Source organism: Homo sapiens, chromosome 4 (assembly GCF_000001405.40).
Source record: "Homo sapiens chromosome 4, GRCh38.p14 Primary Assembly".
Classification (NCBI taxonomy): domain Eukaryota; kingdom Metazoa; phylum Chordata; class Mammalia; order Primates; family Hominidae; genus Homo; species Homo sapiens.
The window spans coordinates 105,905,147-105,918,419 of NC_000004.12; the positions used below are offsets into that span (position 1 = coordinate 105,905,147).

A 13,273-nucleotide genomic window follows, 5' to 3' on the forward strand; every position below is an offset into this window, starting at 1 on the left:
GGACACCGTTTATGATAAAAAGATTTTCAGGAAATATTAAGACATTTTTGTACCAAAATACTTTTTGTAGTGTCCTTAAAACCATAGGGGCATATATTTTCTAATAGTTATTCTAATCCTTATTCCAATTATATACTTAAATTGTCTCCTTTTAGAAAAGTAAGAAATGCATGATTAGGTGAAAAATTAAAAGACACATACTAAGAGCAAGACAGCAGTGAAGGTAAGTATTTCTAACTTTCCTGTTTTCCTGACACCTAGTTCCACCTTCCCACAGGCTACCACTGTTTCCTATTGATCCTTGTAGAGATTTCTTAACATTTTCAAAATTTCCCTTTTTCATAAATGATGGCATGAAGTACAAACGGTTCTGTATCTTGATTTTTTTTTCATGTAACACTACGTTTTGGAAAGCAGTCCTCATTAGTTTATTTAAACCTGACTCATTCTTTTAAATGGCTATACAGTATGCCATTACATGAATGAATGTACTATAATTAATTTAAAAATCCCCTATTTATGTACCTTTGAGTGGTTTTCAATATTTTGTTTTTACATAACATGCTGCAATCAATATTTGCATATATCATCATCACTGTTGTATACCTTTAGATATGGAGGACATATCTAAAGACATTTGATTTCTGTATTAGTATAGTAATTGAAGAGGTTTCATTTTATTGCTACAAATTTTCTTATGTTTAATCTGTAATGTAAAGGAGAGTAAATCATGGCTAATATTACAGAGTAGAAACCTTCTGTTCAGTCATCTTCTATTTTTGATTCCTTAGAAGATACCTTAAAAGATAAATTAAATTGATTTCTTTATTTCTATTTGTTTATGCCCTATCTTGTTTGGGAAAGTATATAAAGTGGCTTCCAGGAATTCACACAATTAAAATAAGGAAATAGGGGCTACATGGAGGAAAATGGGGGTAAAATAAAAATATTAGGAGGAGGGTTTTTCAAATGCAGATATGTAAGCCATAGGATCCTACATATGTCCTACAATTTGGCTACTAGCTTCTGGTAGCCAAAGGTAAAAGATGTTATTGCTGATTTAATTTGTGTTGTTTGTCAGGGAAAAAGCAAACAAGTTATGTGGGAGGAATTATGGTTTTACTGCATGTAGTTCTGAACGAAGACTTTCACGTGGCCCTTTACGGAGTGGGAGTGAATGATGGGATGGAAGGGGCCACAGCAACATTCCTATCATGAAGCCAGTGGTGGTTTTTGAAAAGCTGTTTCATAGAAGATCCGTCAACATAAGATGAGGCCCTTACTCTAAAAGTACAGTTCACGGAAAGCTGTTCTATACATAGTTTAAGAAGCATTATGTGCATAGCTTTCTGACGTTCAGCTAGATACAGCCCAGAATATCTAGCTGTGATGGATGAACTGTATAGGGTTTTGGATGGACAGCTCTGGATTAGACAAGATAGTTTCAGGTTAGAATCACTAACAATGTTCTGAAGTTTGCTGTATTATTTAACAGATTAAAGGCCAGTTCATTTTGTCTTTCTTTTTTAAGTCGATATATTTTGAAGATCAGTAATCAACTAATGGAGTTGATATCCAGAGACATTGTGAATAGAGCAGGGATAGGGCCCCGCCTAGGCTCCAGTAAAAGGAGGATCTGCAAAGAAATTAGTGGGAGATTTTTTAATATCAATTTTGTATCCATTGGATAGCAATATATAAATTCACCACCATTTTGCTATATACATATTCATTTCCATGCCAGTTATGGCTTGGAATAAGGAGGAAAGGCATGAACATTGTTCCCAGGCATCATTTACCCTACTGATGCTGATACATGGATATGGGCCAGTGAGCCCAGGAACAACAGAATCCCTGACCAGTGCTTATTTCCCCAAAGTTCCTGATTGCTATAGGTGTTCCGGGGAGTCAAAGTAACCTCAACTGTTTTCTTAATTCACCTGGATTTATAAGGGTTGATTTATATAAGTTGCTTAGACCTGAACAGACTCAAAGCAGAGTCTGTAGGAAATACTCTGCATATCAACATCCCGTACCCAAACCTAAGTCATCTTTTCACTGGGGTGTGCGGAAGGGCTGATTCTCATGTACTCTTGAAGCCCTAGGCAATAGAACCTGAAATCCTGATGCACATATACCCTAGGATAATTTCTCTCTCAAAAAAAAGCAAATAGTGATTTTAAAAATTATGACTCAATGCATATTCTGAGAGTGCAGCAATCCAGTAAGTGTCACATCTCCTTGGGAGGAACAAAGAGAAGGTCTTCAAACGCCTTTTCTGCAGAGACTAGCGTGAACCAAGAATCTCCCTGTCTGAATTGTCACCGTATATCAACGTGGCAGCGAGCTGAGAAAGTTAGCATTGCCAGGGCCGAGGTTTTCTGTCTTCACGGTAACAAACAAATGATCAGTCCTCAAAGATAGTAAAATGTAGCCAAGATAATTTGGCTTGAAAAAAATTCAAAGTGATGTCAATAACCAGCTACAACCATAGAAAAATACTAGTAGCATATTGATGGTGCATCCCTGGGAACATGCCAGGGCAAATTGGGGTGCAAAATACACCAGTTATTTAAAAATTGGTATGTTATAAGGTAAAGAATTCATTAAGTAATATCAAATACAAATAAACTTTTTATTTTGATTCACTAAAACTTCTTTTTAAGTTTTCTGATTTTATTACTTAATTACTACTGATACATAATTAAAGAATTATGGCCATAATAGAATTCCTAATAAAATTTCTAATAAAGCCAGAATGAAGGAGTATATTACAGGCCAGACATGATAAAGCATTATGATGTGTGGTAAAATAGTGACATCTATTTTTTCATTCTGTATTATTTTATAAATTTTCTGGAGAATTTCAGTTTAAACAGCCTGCTGAAATACTGTTAAATCAACCTGTTATTCTTAACTCTGATGGGAGGAAACAGATATGAATAATAAAAATGATTTCTTAGCTTTAGAATATAGTTGTTGCTTTGGAGAACAAACCGTTTTATTCCAATTATTTTTTATTAGGAGACTTCATTTTCTGCCATACATTAGCTTTGGTAGATACTAGATGCCAGGGGAGTGCAAATTTGAGAATAAGGATTTGGCATGGGTTATTTGCATGTTGAGAGTCAAGATTTAACTAAATTTTAAAACCAAACACTTCATTTGATCAATATCTTTTTAACCATTCTGTAGATTAATAATATAAATTCTCCAGAGCTGACATTACTTTGCTATAACATCATCAGATCACAAGATTAGGGTTGCCTTTTGTAGATGTTATTCACTTACTCTGAAATGTTAGGAAATATGTCATCACAGTTTAAATTTGTAGTAATATATACAAAAGGAAAACACAACTAGGAATTTTGGATTTATGCTTACTTTGCCAAAAACCATGTTGATTTTCAAAAACCTTTAGCCTTTTTTTTTTTTGAGACGGAGTCTTCCTCTGTCACCCAGGCTGGAGTGTAGTGGTGCAATCTCGGCTCACTGCAACCTCTGCCTCCTGGGTTCAAGCGATTCTCCTGCCTCAGCCTCCCGAGTAGCTAGGACTATAGGCACCCGCCCACCACACCAACTAATTTTTTGTATTTTTAGCAGAGACAGGGTTTTACCATGTTAGGCAGGATGGTCTCGATCTCCTGACCTCGTGATCTGCCCGCCTCAGCCTTCCAAAGTACTGGCATTACAGGTGTGAGCCACCGTGCCTGGACTAACCTTATTTTCGTAAATCAAAGTTCCTAAATTCAGTTTCTAAGGAAAGCCCCTAAGTGGTCAAAGGTGTGTGTTGCTGAATTTCAGAAACAAACTCCATGGATGGACTTTCCAGACATAAACTTCCCACCAAAATATTGTTCCAAAGTGTTTAGTGCCTCCTATTTTATTTTAGTGTTAAGATTTTGTAGGTACTTGGTAATTATCAGCAGAATATTTACATACCAACAAATAGCAAAGCCATTGATAATTAATAGAAAAACAAAATCATAGCTTATGTTTAGTTGTATTTTTTAGTGTATTTCAGTGTTTAGAGTTGATTTTATATTGCATATACTAACTGTGGTAATAGTTTCTACTGGATAGATTATTTCAAGTTCACATGATTATAGAAGTATTTTATGAAGTTTGACATAGATAATGGTGGTTTCAGGGTCCCTTGTCTCTTGGGTTGAGTTTTTACATCATTGAAGAATTAAAAGATTGTGTCTTGGTGTCTATGTATGGCCAAGAATTAAGACATTCTGATGTACAGTTTCATTTTCTAACTAAGGCAAAAATGTTTTTTGAAACAATTACTTTTTAGGATAAAAGTATAAAATTATGAAGAAATAATGTGTAGGTTTGCTAAATGTTGTGTTCTTAAATCTTGTGTTGAGGTCTGATGAATTTTTTTATATCTTTAATAGTTCTAAAGTAGTGTACTGAAAGTTAGGATCATCCATGTTGCTACTTAACTTGTTGTCCATAGGGTCTGTTGTCCTGGATGTTGGTGTTATAAATGTACAGAGTTAGGTAGTTTTCTGTGAAGAGTTTGCAGGCTAATATCACTGTTTTTGACAATGAAAAATATAGCATGAAAATTAAGGTTGGGGTATGGAGAACTTTCTAGAGCTATTGCTTTTTCTAGCTGATGATTAAGGTTGAGAGGCAGAAGTACATTGTGTCAGGGAGGACCTTTCCCTTTTATGCATGCACCTGGCATTTATCACCTTTAACAAAGTGTGTGTGTCATGCTGTGCTGCTTGCTTAAGGGGCTGTATGCCTCCAGTCTGAGTCACATGGTAACTGCATCAGCAGTCTTAGCCTGTAGCATTTTATTATTTCTTTTCAAAGTTTACACTTGGCCTAATACTTAGACATTTTATAATTCTTTACAGTAAATGAAACTATACATGAGAAGATGGGCATACCTTTGGATTAAAAAAAAAAAAGGCTCAGTTCTTTAAAGTTTCTTATCCTTGATTTTCCTAACACGGTCCAAAGTTCAGGACTGGCTCCAAACCCATAAACCTGTGTTTAGCAAGCAAGAAACATAATCCCCAGATAGTTTAGTTTCTCTGGTTTATGAGTCACAATTTCATAAAATCATCAGAGTGCTTATTAATTCCAACCACGTATAGTAAAGAACCTTCAGATGAACTGAAGCAAGGGTTCTTAGGCAAGTTGCCGGAGAGAGTTCTAGAATTCTAAACTACCTGAGTAGCTTTGCTGAAATGTTGCTTGTATTTGCTACTGTGGCCATTTTATGATGGCCATAGAGCAACAGATTATCAAGAGAAAATGAGACAGATTTTTCTGTATTATGTGCTATGAATGAATCCTATTTTAGTGAATGTTTTAATGGGGTTTATACCGCAAAAAAAAAAAATTGTATGTAAGGCATTTATTTCTGGCAACTTTCATAAAAATTGTTGTGATGGTTGCATATAAAAATTTCCTTATCCTTCAATAGAGGATAGTTCCCAGAAACTTCCTAGAAGTAATCTATTCCAGATTTAACATTGCTTTGACATAAAATGCAGTTTTGTGTAGTTTTAAAATGCAAATTAAAAAATATAGGACATTGGCTAAAATTTTATCTTGAAGTCGGGTATATATTGATACCATAAAACTTACTAGATCTATGTATTTCAAGGCTAATTTATGCCAAGTAGGAAAAATATGACCCAACCTTAAGATATTACAAGGATAAAATAGACTATACAAAACTGTTTGGCTATTTGGTACTAATACAACTAGTTAGAACATAATGATGTTTGCTATTCTTTATTAAGTTGTTTTACCTTTGCTTACAATAATTTAAAGTATTTTTCCTGATAAATTTGATGACTCAAAATTGGCAATTAAAGAATATTAAAGAAACGGTATCCTTTTATATTTTTTCTGTCTCATATATAACCATAGTCATAACTTGTGTGATCCAGAATGTAATTTGCTATTTACACTTTGATTTCAGCTGTTTGCTTAGATTGTACCTGATGTATTTTATTATTCTATTTAAGGAATGTGTCAACATCAAGATATGGTGAGTTCTTTTCAAAATAACAGTAGAAACCTGACCAATATGAAAAAAAAAAGTCTAGCAAGCAAATGTAATTTGTGTCTTTAAAAATACATAGCAATCATTCTGGATCAATAGTTAAATTATTGCTTCAATTAAATCAAATTGGACTTAGAATTTTTTTCTTCTTATATTACCCAAAGGAAGGCCCCATTCACCTAATTTTAAATTATACAAATTATACAAATAAATATACAATTGTAAATTACAGTGGATATTTAATCCTTTAAAGGCATTAATTTAGCAGAGAAGAATAAAATTATCCCTTTTCTTACCTCTAAAATCTCTAGGTTGATCAAACACTGACCATTATTAGTACCATTTCAAGTTTCTTCCCTTTACTTTCATCAAACTGGGTTATTTATGTATGTTCAAGTGAAATGGCTGTGCTTTCATGGTAATTCTTGTTGCTATTGACAACCAAAGCAGCCATGCAAGAAGAAAATGCTGTGGAAGGGAAGAAAAAAATTATATTTCCTCCCCAAAGTTGGAGAGAGAAGGGAACATACAGTATGTAAGAAACAGGTAAGTAAAAATATATCAATTTTAAAACTATTAGCCTTTCTTACTAATTGATCAAAAGTTTAAATTTTTTCAGATGTGTTTTCCAACTCCAATTTAAATAAAAGGATACTGTCTCTAGGAATCAGAAATTAATATTCTGGAAATGAAAAATTGGATTTGAAAATACAGCATCACAAAAGGTCTGAAATATTTAAATTTAGAATTTGGACTATAGAAGAATAGCATAACTTCAATTATTGGTTAATATTTTTGTTATGAAATGTTTTTTTATAACAAAATGGTGACTAAAATATTACTATTTTAAACATGTCCTAGATTTTTTTTTGTTTCAGAAAAGCACTGAAAGTTGAATATGTGTAAGTCTCCGGGAATGTAACAAGTTGATAAATACCCAAGTCCAGCCTCCTTACAGAGAAAAGATCTGGAATTTCTTTTTTTGGACATTTGTTTTGCAGCTTTCTACGTCTTAAGGCAGAGAATAGCCAGGATAAGGTGCCAGCTCAAAGGTTAGATGAACATATTTCTTGAAATAATTTTGGCTAATCTATGTCTTGAAAGGCATACCTTCTAAATAATTTTACAAAGCTGTAAACAAAACATTAGTTGTGTTTTTGAATTGCTTCTTTTTAGGAAAACTATATTTCTTAGAGATGTGCTTATTCTATACATAATTATAGTAAGTTAATTTTAATTCCATTATTACATTAAACTTTTCCGTTTCAGTTGATTATTCCTTTCTTCTGTTTTATGAATCTAATAAATTGACCTCCATTCTAAGCTAAAGGACAGTTTATGTTTTTAATACTTAAGGAAGCAAATATAAAAACAAAGTCCACCAAATGAAATTACTAACACCAGCCTATCATTAACCTGAGGGAGTTGTATTTCATATTCATTAATTCTCCATGGAACAATTCAGGTAAGAAATATTTTTATTGTATGAAATATGTTATCAGTTATAATAGCACTTACGGGCATTTATGCTCTTGTTTTAGGTACATAAAGGGTTCCTTGTTTAAGATATTTTTGGCAGTAAATAATGTCACTTATCACCCTATGACACTTTAGTGGAAAACGTTGGTGAAATATGTGGAATTGTAATGTTTAATGGAATTGATTCTAAGAAGACAATGTTCTTTTTGTTTGTTTGTTTGAAACAGAGCCTTGCTCTGTTGCCCAAGGTGGAGTGCGCTGGTGTGATCTTGGCTTACTGCAAACTCCGCCTCTTAGGTTCAAGTGATTCTCCAGCCTCAGGCTCCTGAGTAGCTGGGATTACAGGCGCCCACCACAATGCCCGGCTAATTTTTTATTTTTAGTAGAGATGGGGTTTTGCCATGTTGGCCAGGCTGGTCTTGAACTCCTGACCTCAGGTGATCTGCCGGCCTCGGCCTCCCAAAGTGCTGGGATTACAGGTGTGAGCTACTGCACCCGGCCTGAGAATGTTCTTTAAACTGATTGAAGAAACTATCACATGTCATGAAAAATGTTTTTAAGGCAGAATTTTAATAAAAAAAATATTTGGGAACAAAATTGATAGTACTAGAAATAGAAGTTCAGAAATTTCTTTGTTCAGGGAGACTTAAAGCATATGTATTTTAAAGTTACTAGCAGTTATAGGATTGACTAGTAGAGCTATGGCTTACATTAGGGAGGCAATGCCAAGGAAAGAATAGAATGTGTGGTTGGCCACCAACATCTGGGTTCAGGAACTGTTCCTATGACTTACCACCTGTAAGAAACTAGACATTTTAACTTTTCTGAGCTGCAATGTTGTAATCTTTAAATCTAACTTTGCAAGATTCTTACTGGTTATAAGGAGGTGGCTTCCACAGTTCTTGACAGATGTTTGCTATTATTAGTGTGTTCTCAATATATACAATACAAATGGAGAACTCTGAGCCGAGTTTTACTAGGATCCATCCTAGGACAGATGGTACAGCACATTTTCAAATGGTTTTGTTTACCATAATCATCTTTTGGAAATAATCAATTGGAAGTAGAACAATTCTTCAGTTATTCATTTCTAAAATCAAAACTTTCATGGGATAGTTTTCTGTGCTTCTGAACCGTTTTTCCCATTTCTCTAATAATATCCATCCATAAACCTCCGAGTGGAACAGTTTTGGTTGTCTAACAGTGTTTGTGCTTGGGAAATGAATTGAAGGGAGATGGAATTGAATTGTTGAATGTGAGCATTTAGAGTTCCTGTAATTTATCCGTATAATTATTTGAGAGCTTACTAGAGGTAAAGAGCTAAGTTAGGTGCTGGGAAGATACAAAGGTGAATAAAACAGGGACCCTTACTTTCAAGCAACTCAATTTGTAAGATGATTGGCTCTTATTCCTTCTATGATTCTTAAATAGGAAAAAGTTAGGGATAAAGATTTGAGGGAGTTCAGGGAAAGAATCATTTCCTGCTGAAGAGGATCAAGGAAGACTTCATGAACTCAATGGTATTCAGTTGATACTATATATATATATATTATCAGTATATCTAGTATATAGTATCAGTATATACTGATAGTGAGTGACATGAATGCCTAGAGCTTCATTTTACTGGGATGATATCTGCAGTAGTTGGTCCTGGATCATGCAGGTAATAGCTGGCTCTCTCTCTCCATTCTCTCTCTCTCTCTCTCTCTATATATATAATATATAAAAATAATATAATATATATTATATATTATAATATATATATTATATAAATATTACATATACATAATATAATATATAATATATTATATATATAGAGAGAGAGATAATGGAGAGAGAGAGCCAGCTATTACCTGCATGATCCAGGACCAACTACTGCAGATATCATTCTAGTAAAATGAAGCTCTAGGCATTCACGTCACTCACTATCAGTATTGAAAGCCCACAGAGGAAGGCAATACTGGGTAAGAGGCATGTTTTAGTATAGGATTCTGTGAGAGCATATCTTAAGGGGCAGTAGCCCAGACCAGCAGTGATGGAGTGGTGATGGCCCAGCTGAATCCCGAGGGATAAATCAGTCAAGTGAAGAGTATCCTGGGCACACAGAAAAATGCATTTAAAGCTCAGTAGCCAGAGGGAGGAGCACATTCCGAGAACTGTTAAGAATCTCAACCCAGCATATGTGGGGTATATGTTTGAAGGGCATCTGATGAGAGACGCAGTGGGAGAAGTGGGAAAGGACTCCTGGAAGGCTTTTGATATCATATTAAATACATTTGCCTTAATCACAAAGTTGTAGAGGAACACTGTAAAGATTTTAAGCAGAGAAATTAATATTTTAGAGGATAGCTGGTGGTAATGGATCAGATCTAGCACTCAGGTGAATTTAGTTTTGCTTGGAGTGTTTGTAGTTGTCAGTGTCTCACAGGAGACACGGATATAAGGGTTGGTTCAAAAATCGGTAGGTCTGCATTGCTGCGAGGAGTCTATCAGCTGGGGCCTCTTAAGTAGCTGGCCCATTTGGAAGAAGTATGTGCCTCATTTCCCTGTGGAGCTCACTTCCTTTAGTGCAAATGCCTGGGACCTGTAGGAAGTCAACCTGGTGAGAAATTAGGCTTCATTTTAAGTAGTGGTGGTGGGAACAAAGAGAAGGAGAGGGATTGAAAGATACTGAAAAGAAAGGATGGAGAGGCACACAGTGTTAGGGCAGTGGCGGGGGGGCACATGGGCTTGGCAGACAGACTTGCTGCAACTACAAATTGTGTTTTTGAGAAACTTACCTAAACAGTCTGAGCTACAGCTTCTTTTTTGATAAAATGTAGATAACAGTCCTATCTAGTAGGACTTTTTATGAGGATCAAATGAGGAAACCCAAAGCGTTTGACTCAGCAACTGGCTTATATTCACATTCAGTAACATGGTGGCTGCAGTATTTGTAATGCTGGTTGTGAAAGGTGAAGAAGATGTAATCAAGATTACTCCCAAGTCTCTAGGACATCATTTGGTGAGCTAGAGAACACAGGAGAAGGTGCAGATAATGATTTCAATTTTGGATATGTTCAGTTTGAAGCGCTTGTGAGACTTTGAAGTAGAGAAACTTGATATGTGCTTGGATTGCAGGGTGAGATCTGAACAGAACACAGGCTATGATTTCATTTCTTTCCACTATTCTACTCAAACCTTCCTTCCTTTTCCTTCGTCAACTTCAGTCAACATTGATTATTGCCACAACTATCTCCACGGAGGAACAGCTTTAAACAGTAGAAAAAGAATGTGGGATAGGTAAAAATCTGTGTTCCACATCTGCTAAATGTTATCTAATAGTTGTAAGTTCTTGAAAAAAAATCTTTCCAGTTTACCGTTTTGGCAAAGCATTGTAAGCAACTAATAATTCAACATTTGTTTATATCAAGGGCTGAAAAAAAGTCATCCTCTACAAACATATTTTCTTTTTTTCCCTCTTTTGGTTGCCTTTTTTTGTTTTACATCACCACCACTCCTAACTCTAAGAAAATATTTGACTAAAAGTGAATCATTGTTAGTAGTGAATTCGTACTTTTTTTTTTTTCTATGAGACATAGTCTCATTCTGTCACCTAGGCTGGAGTGCAATGGTGCGAGCTCTGCTCACTGCAGCCTCTGCCTGCCAGGTTCAATGGACTCTCCTGCCTCAGCCACCCAAGTGGCTGGGATTATAGGCATACACCACCATGCCCATATAATTTTTTTTTTTTTTTTCAGTAGAGACGGGTTTGCCATATTGCCCAGGCTGGTCTTGAACTCCTGAGCTCAAGCAATCCACGCACCTTGGCCTTCCAAAGTACTGAGATTACAGGCCTGGGCCACTGTACCCAGCCAAGCACATTTATTTTTTAAGTTTATATTCTGTCCTAATACAATGTATTAAAAATGAGCCCTGCCTCAAGTCCTAGCCTAAATGCCACTTTCTCCAGTCTGCTTTCCTGATTTTCACAGCAGGAAGTCTTCTGTACTTCCTCTACATATAACACTTGCATGAAGCATATCTCACATTGCCCTACATTGTGGTTATTTATGGATCTATATTATTTGTTCTGCTAGACTATTAGTTTCATGAAGGTGGAGGCAGTGTCTTATACATCTTTACGCCAGTATAACAGCTTCTGCAATGCCTCGTCCAGTTCAGTTCAGTACACTTTTGAAGGTGTAAGAGCTAGTCATTTCTATTTATTAATAAAAGGGATTTAAAAAAAAGATGGACAAGATGTAATCTTAATAAACATATTGTGGTTTTCAGGAAACAGTTTAATGAGAAAATGAATATATTTGTCTCCCTACCTTATGACCTTATTACATATCATAGATCTTCACTCTTGCTTTAGATTCTAAACAGAAATCAATTTATGTGCTTGAAATCACATAAAGGTAATCTGATTGTGTCATCTACTGCTTACAGTCCATTGGCTGTTCACAATTATGGGTAGAATCTTGATTATTTGAGTAGAAGCCTTTTCAGGCTGACATTGCCTTATCAGTGGAGGACTGTTTCTTGTTGTAGGCCCAGTCGCAGTGGACGGCCCTTGGGTTTCCAGACTTCTGCTGCTTCATGCCTGTTGGCTTTTCTTATGCTGCTCAGTCTGAGTCAAAGGCCCTTCACCCATTCCCATGGTGAATTTCTACTTATCCTTTAAAATTCAGCTCACATTTCCTCTTGAAAGTTTTTCCTGGTATCTTTCCTATTCCTGCCTCCCTGCAGAGAAATGCCTTCTTCTGTATTCTTTTAACACCTTGTACACCTGTCATGTCTATCTTTGTCAGGAGACTGTACACTACAGAGCAAGTACTGTGTATTTAAAGAGCTCAAAGTCTAGTGAAGGAGCTAGATAAGAAAAACAACTCTGAAAATATGGTATAAGATATATATATTTAAAAGTAAACCTGTATATACATATAATTTATGATAGAAGTATGCACAGAGGCTTATGAAAGCACTGAAGAGGGTATGAACTCAGCATGAGGCGTGAAAATCTTGGGGGTGATATAATGGTCAAACTGACAGGTGAAGCCTGTCTAGATATTAGTGTAGCAGACAAGAGGGGGAATGGCATTCCATGTGAAAGTGTGGAGGTACTCGAGAGTGTATTTCTAAGAACTGCAATTAACTGCTATATTTGTGAATGTGATTGGAAATGAGGCCAATGGGATAGGCAAGGGTCATATCATGAAATATGGTACTGAATGCCATGCTGAGTGTTTGAAATAGTATAATGATCTACATGAACATGATGAGGAGCCAGTGAATGAGTATAAGGAGCAGAATGGCATGCTGAAATCATGGGTTAGGGAGGTCCCTCTAACAATAGTTCAGGCCTGGATTGAAGTCCATGATGTTGGACACAGAAAGACTGTTGTGCCATCACTTACATGACCAATCTCTTATTGATGGACATTTAAGTTGTTTTCAAATTTCTGTTTAAGGTTCTTCAACAGATAAATTTGGAATAATTATCATTTTCTTTAGAAAACAAATAAGCAAACTAAAAACACCTGAAGGTCAAAATGACAAATCTCTGACATCATATTAGTCGAGGCCCAGTAACAAAATTGATTTAATTTTAAAAATAATTAATGTATACTTCAACTCATGTATCAGTGACTCTTTTAAACATAGAGATTTTGGTTGCTAAAAAAGGTGATGATGGTTACATTAAAATTTTCTGGCCTTTTGTGATGATTCTTTAGCAAACCTGCTCAAAATTACAGTATCAGATGTTTT

The 13,273-nt window shown here is 35.4% G+C and overlaps 1 protein-coding gene across 18 annotated transcripts in view; it reads left to right on the forward strand.

The window, feature by feature from the left end:
* NPNT (nephronectin) overlaps nucleotides 1-13,273 on the forward strand; it is a 76,201-nt gene that overhangs the window by 9,676 nt on the left and 53,252 nt on the right. For 9 of the 18 annotated variants that reach the window (XM_011531820.3, XM_017007984.2, XM_011531823.3 and 6 more), the window contains exon 3: nucleotides 7,042-7,092. The exons of 8 other annotated variants lie outside the window; for them this stretch is intronic. In XM_011531820.3, coding sequence (XP_011530122.1) covers nucleotides 7,042-7,092 — 51 coding nt within the window. Of the gene's footprint in view, nucleotides 1-7,028; nucleotides 7,093-7,396; nucleotides 7,506-13,273 lie in introns of those variants that run through there. One more of the 18 variants, XM_047449986.1, reaches the window with a different exon arrangement.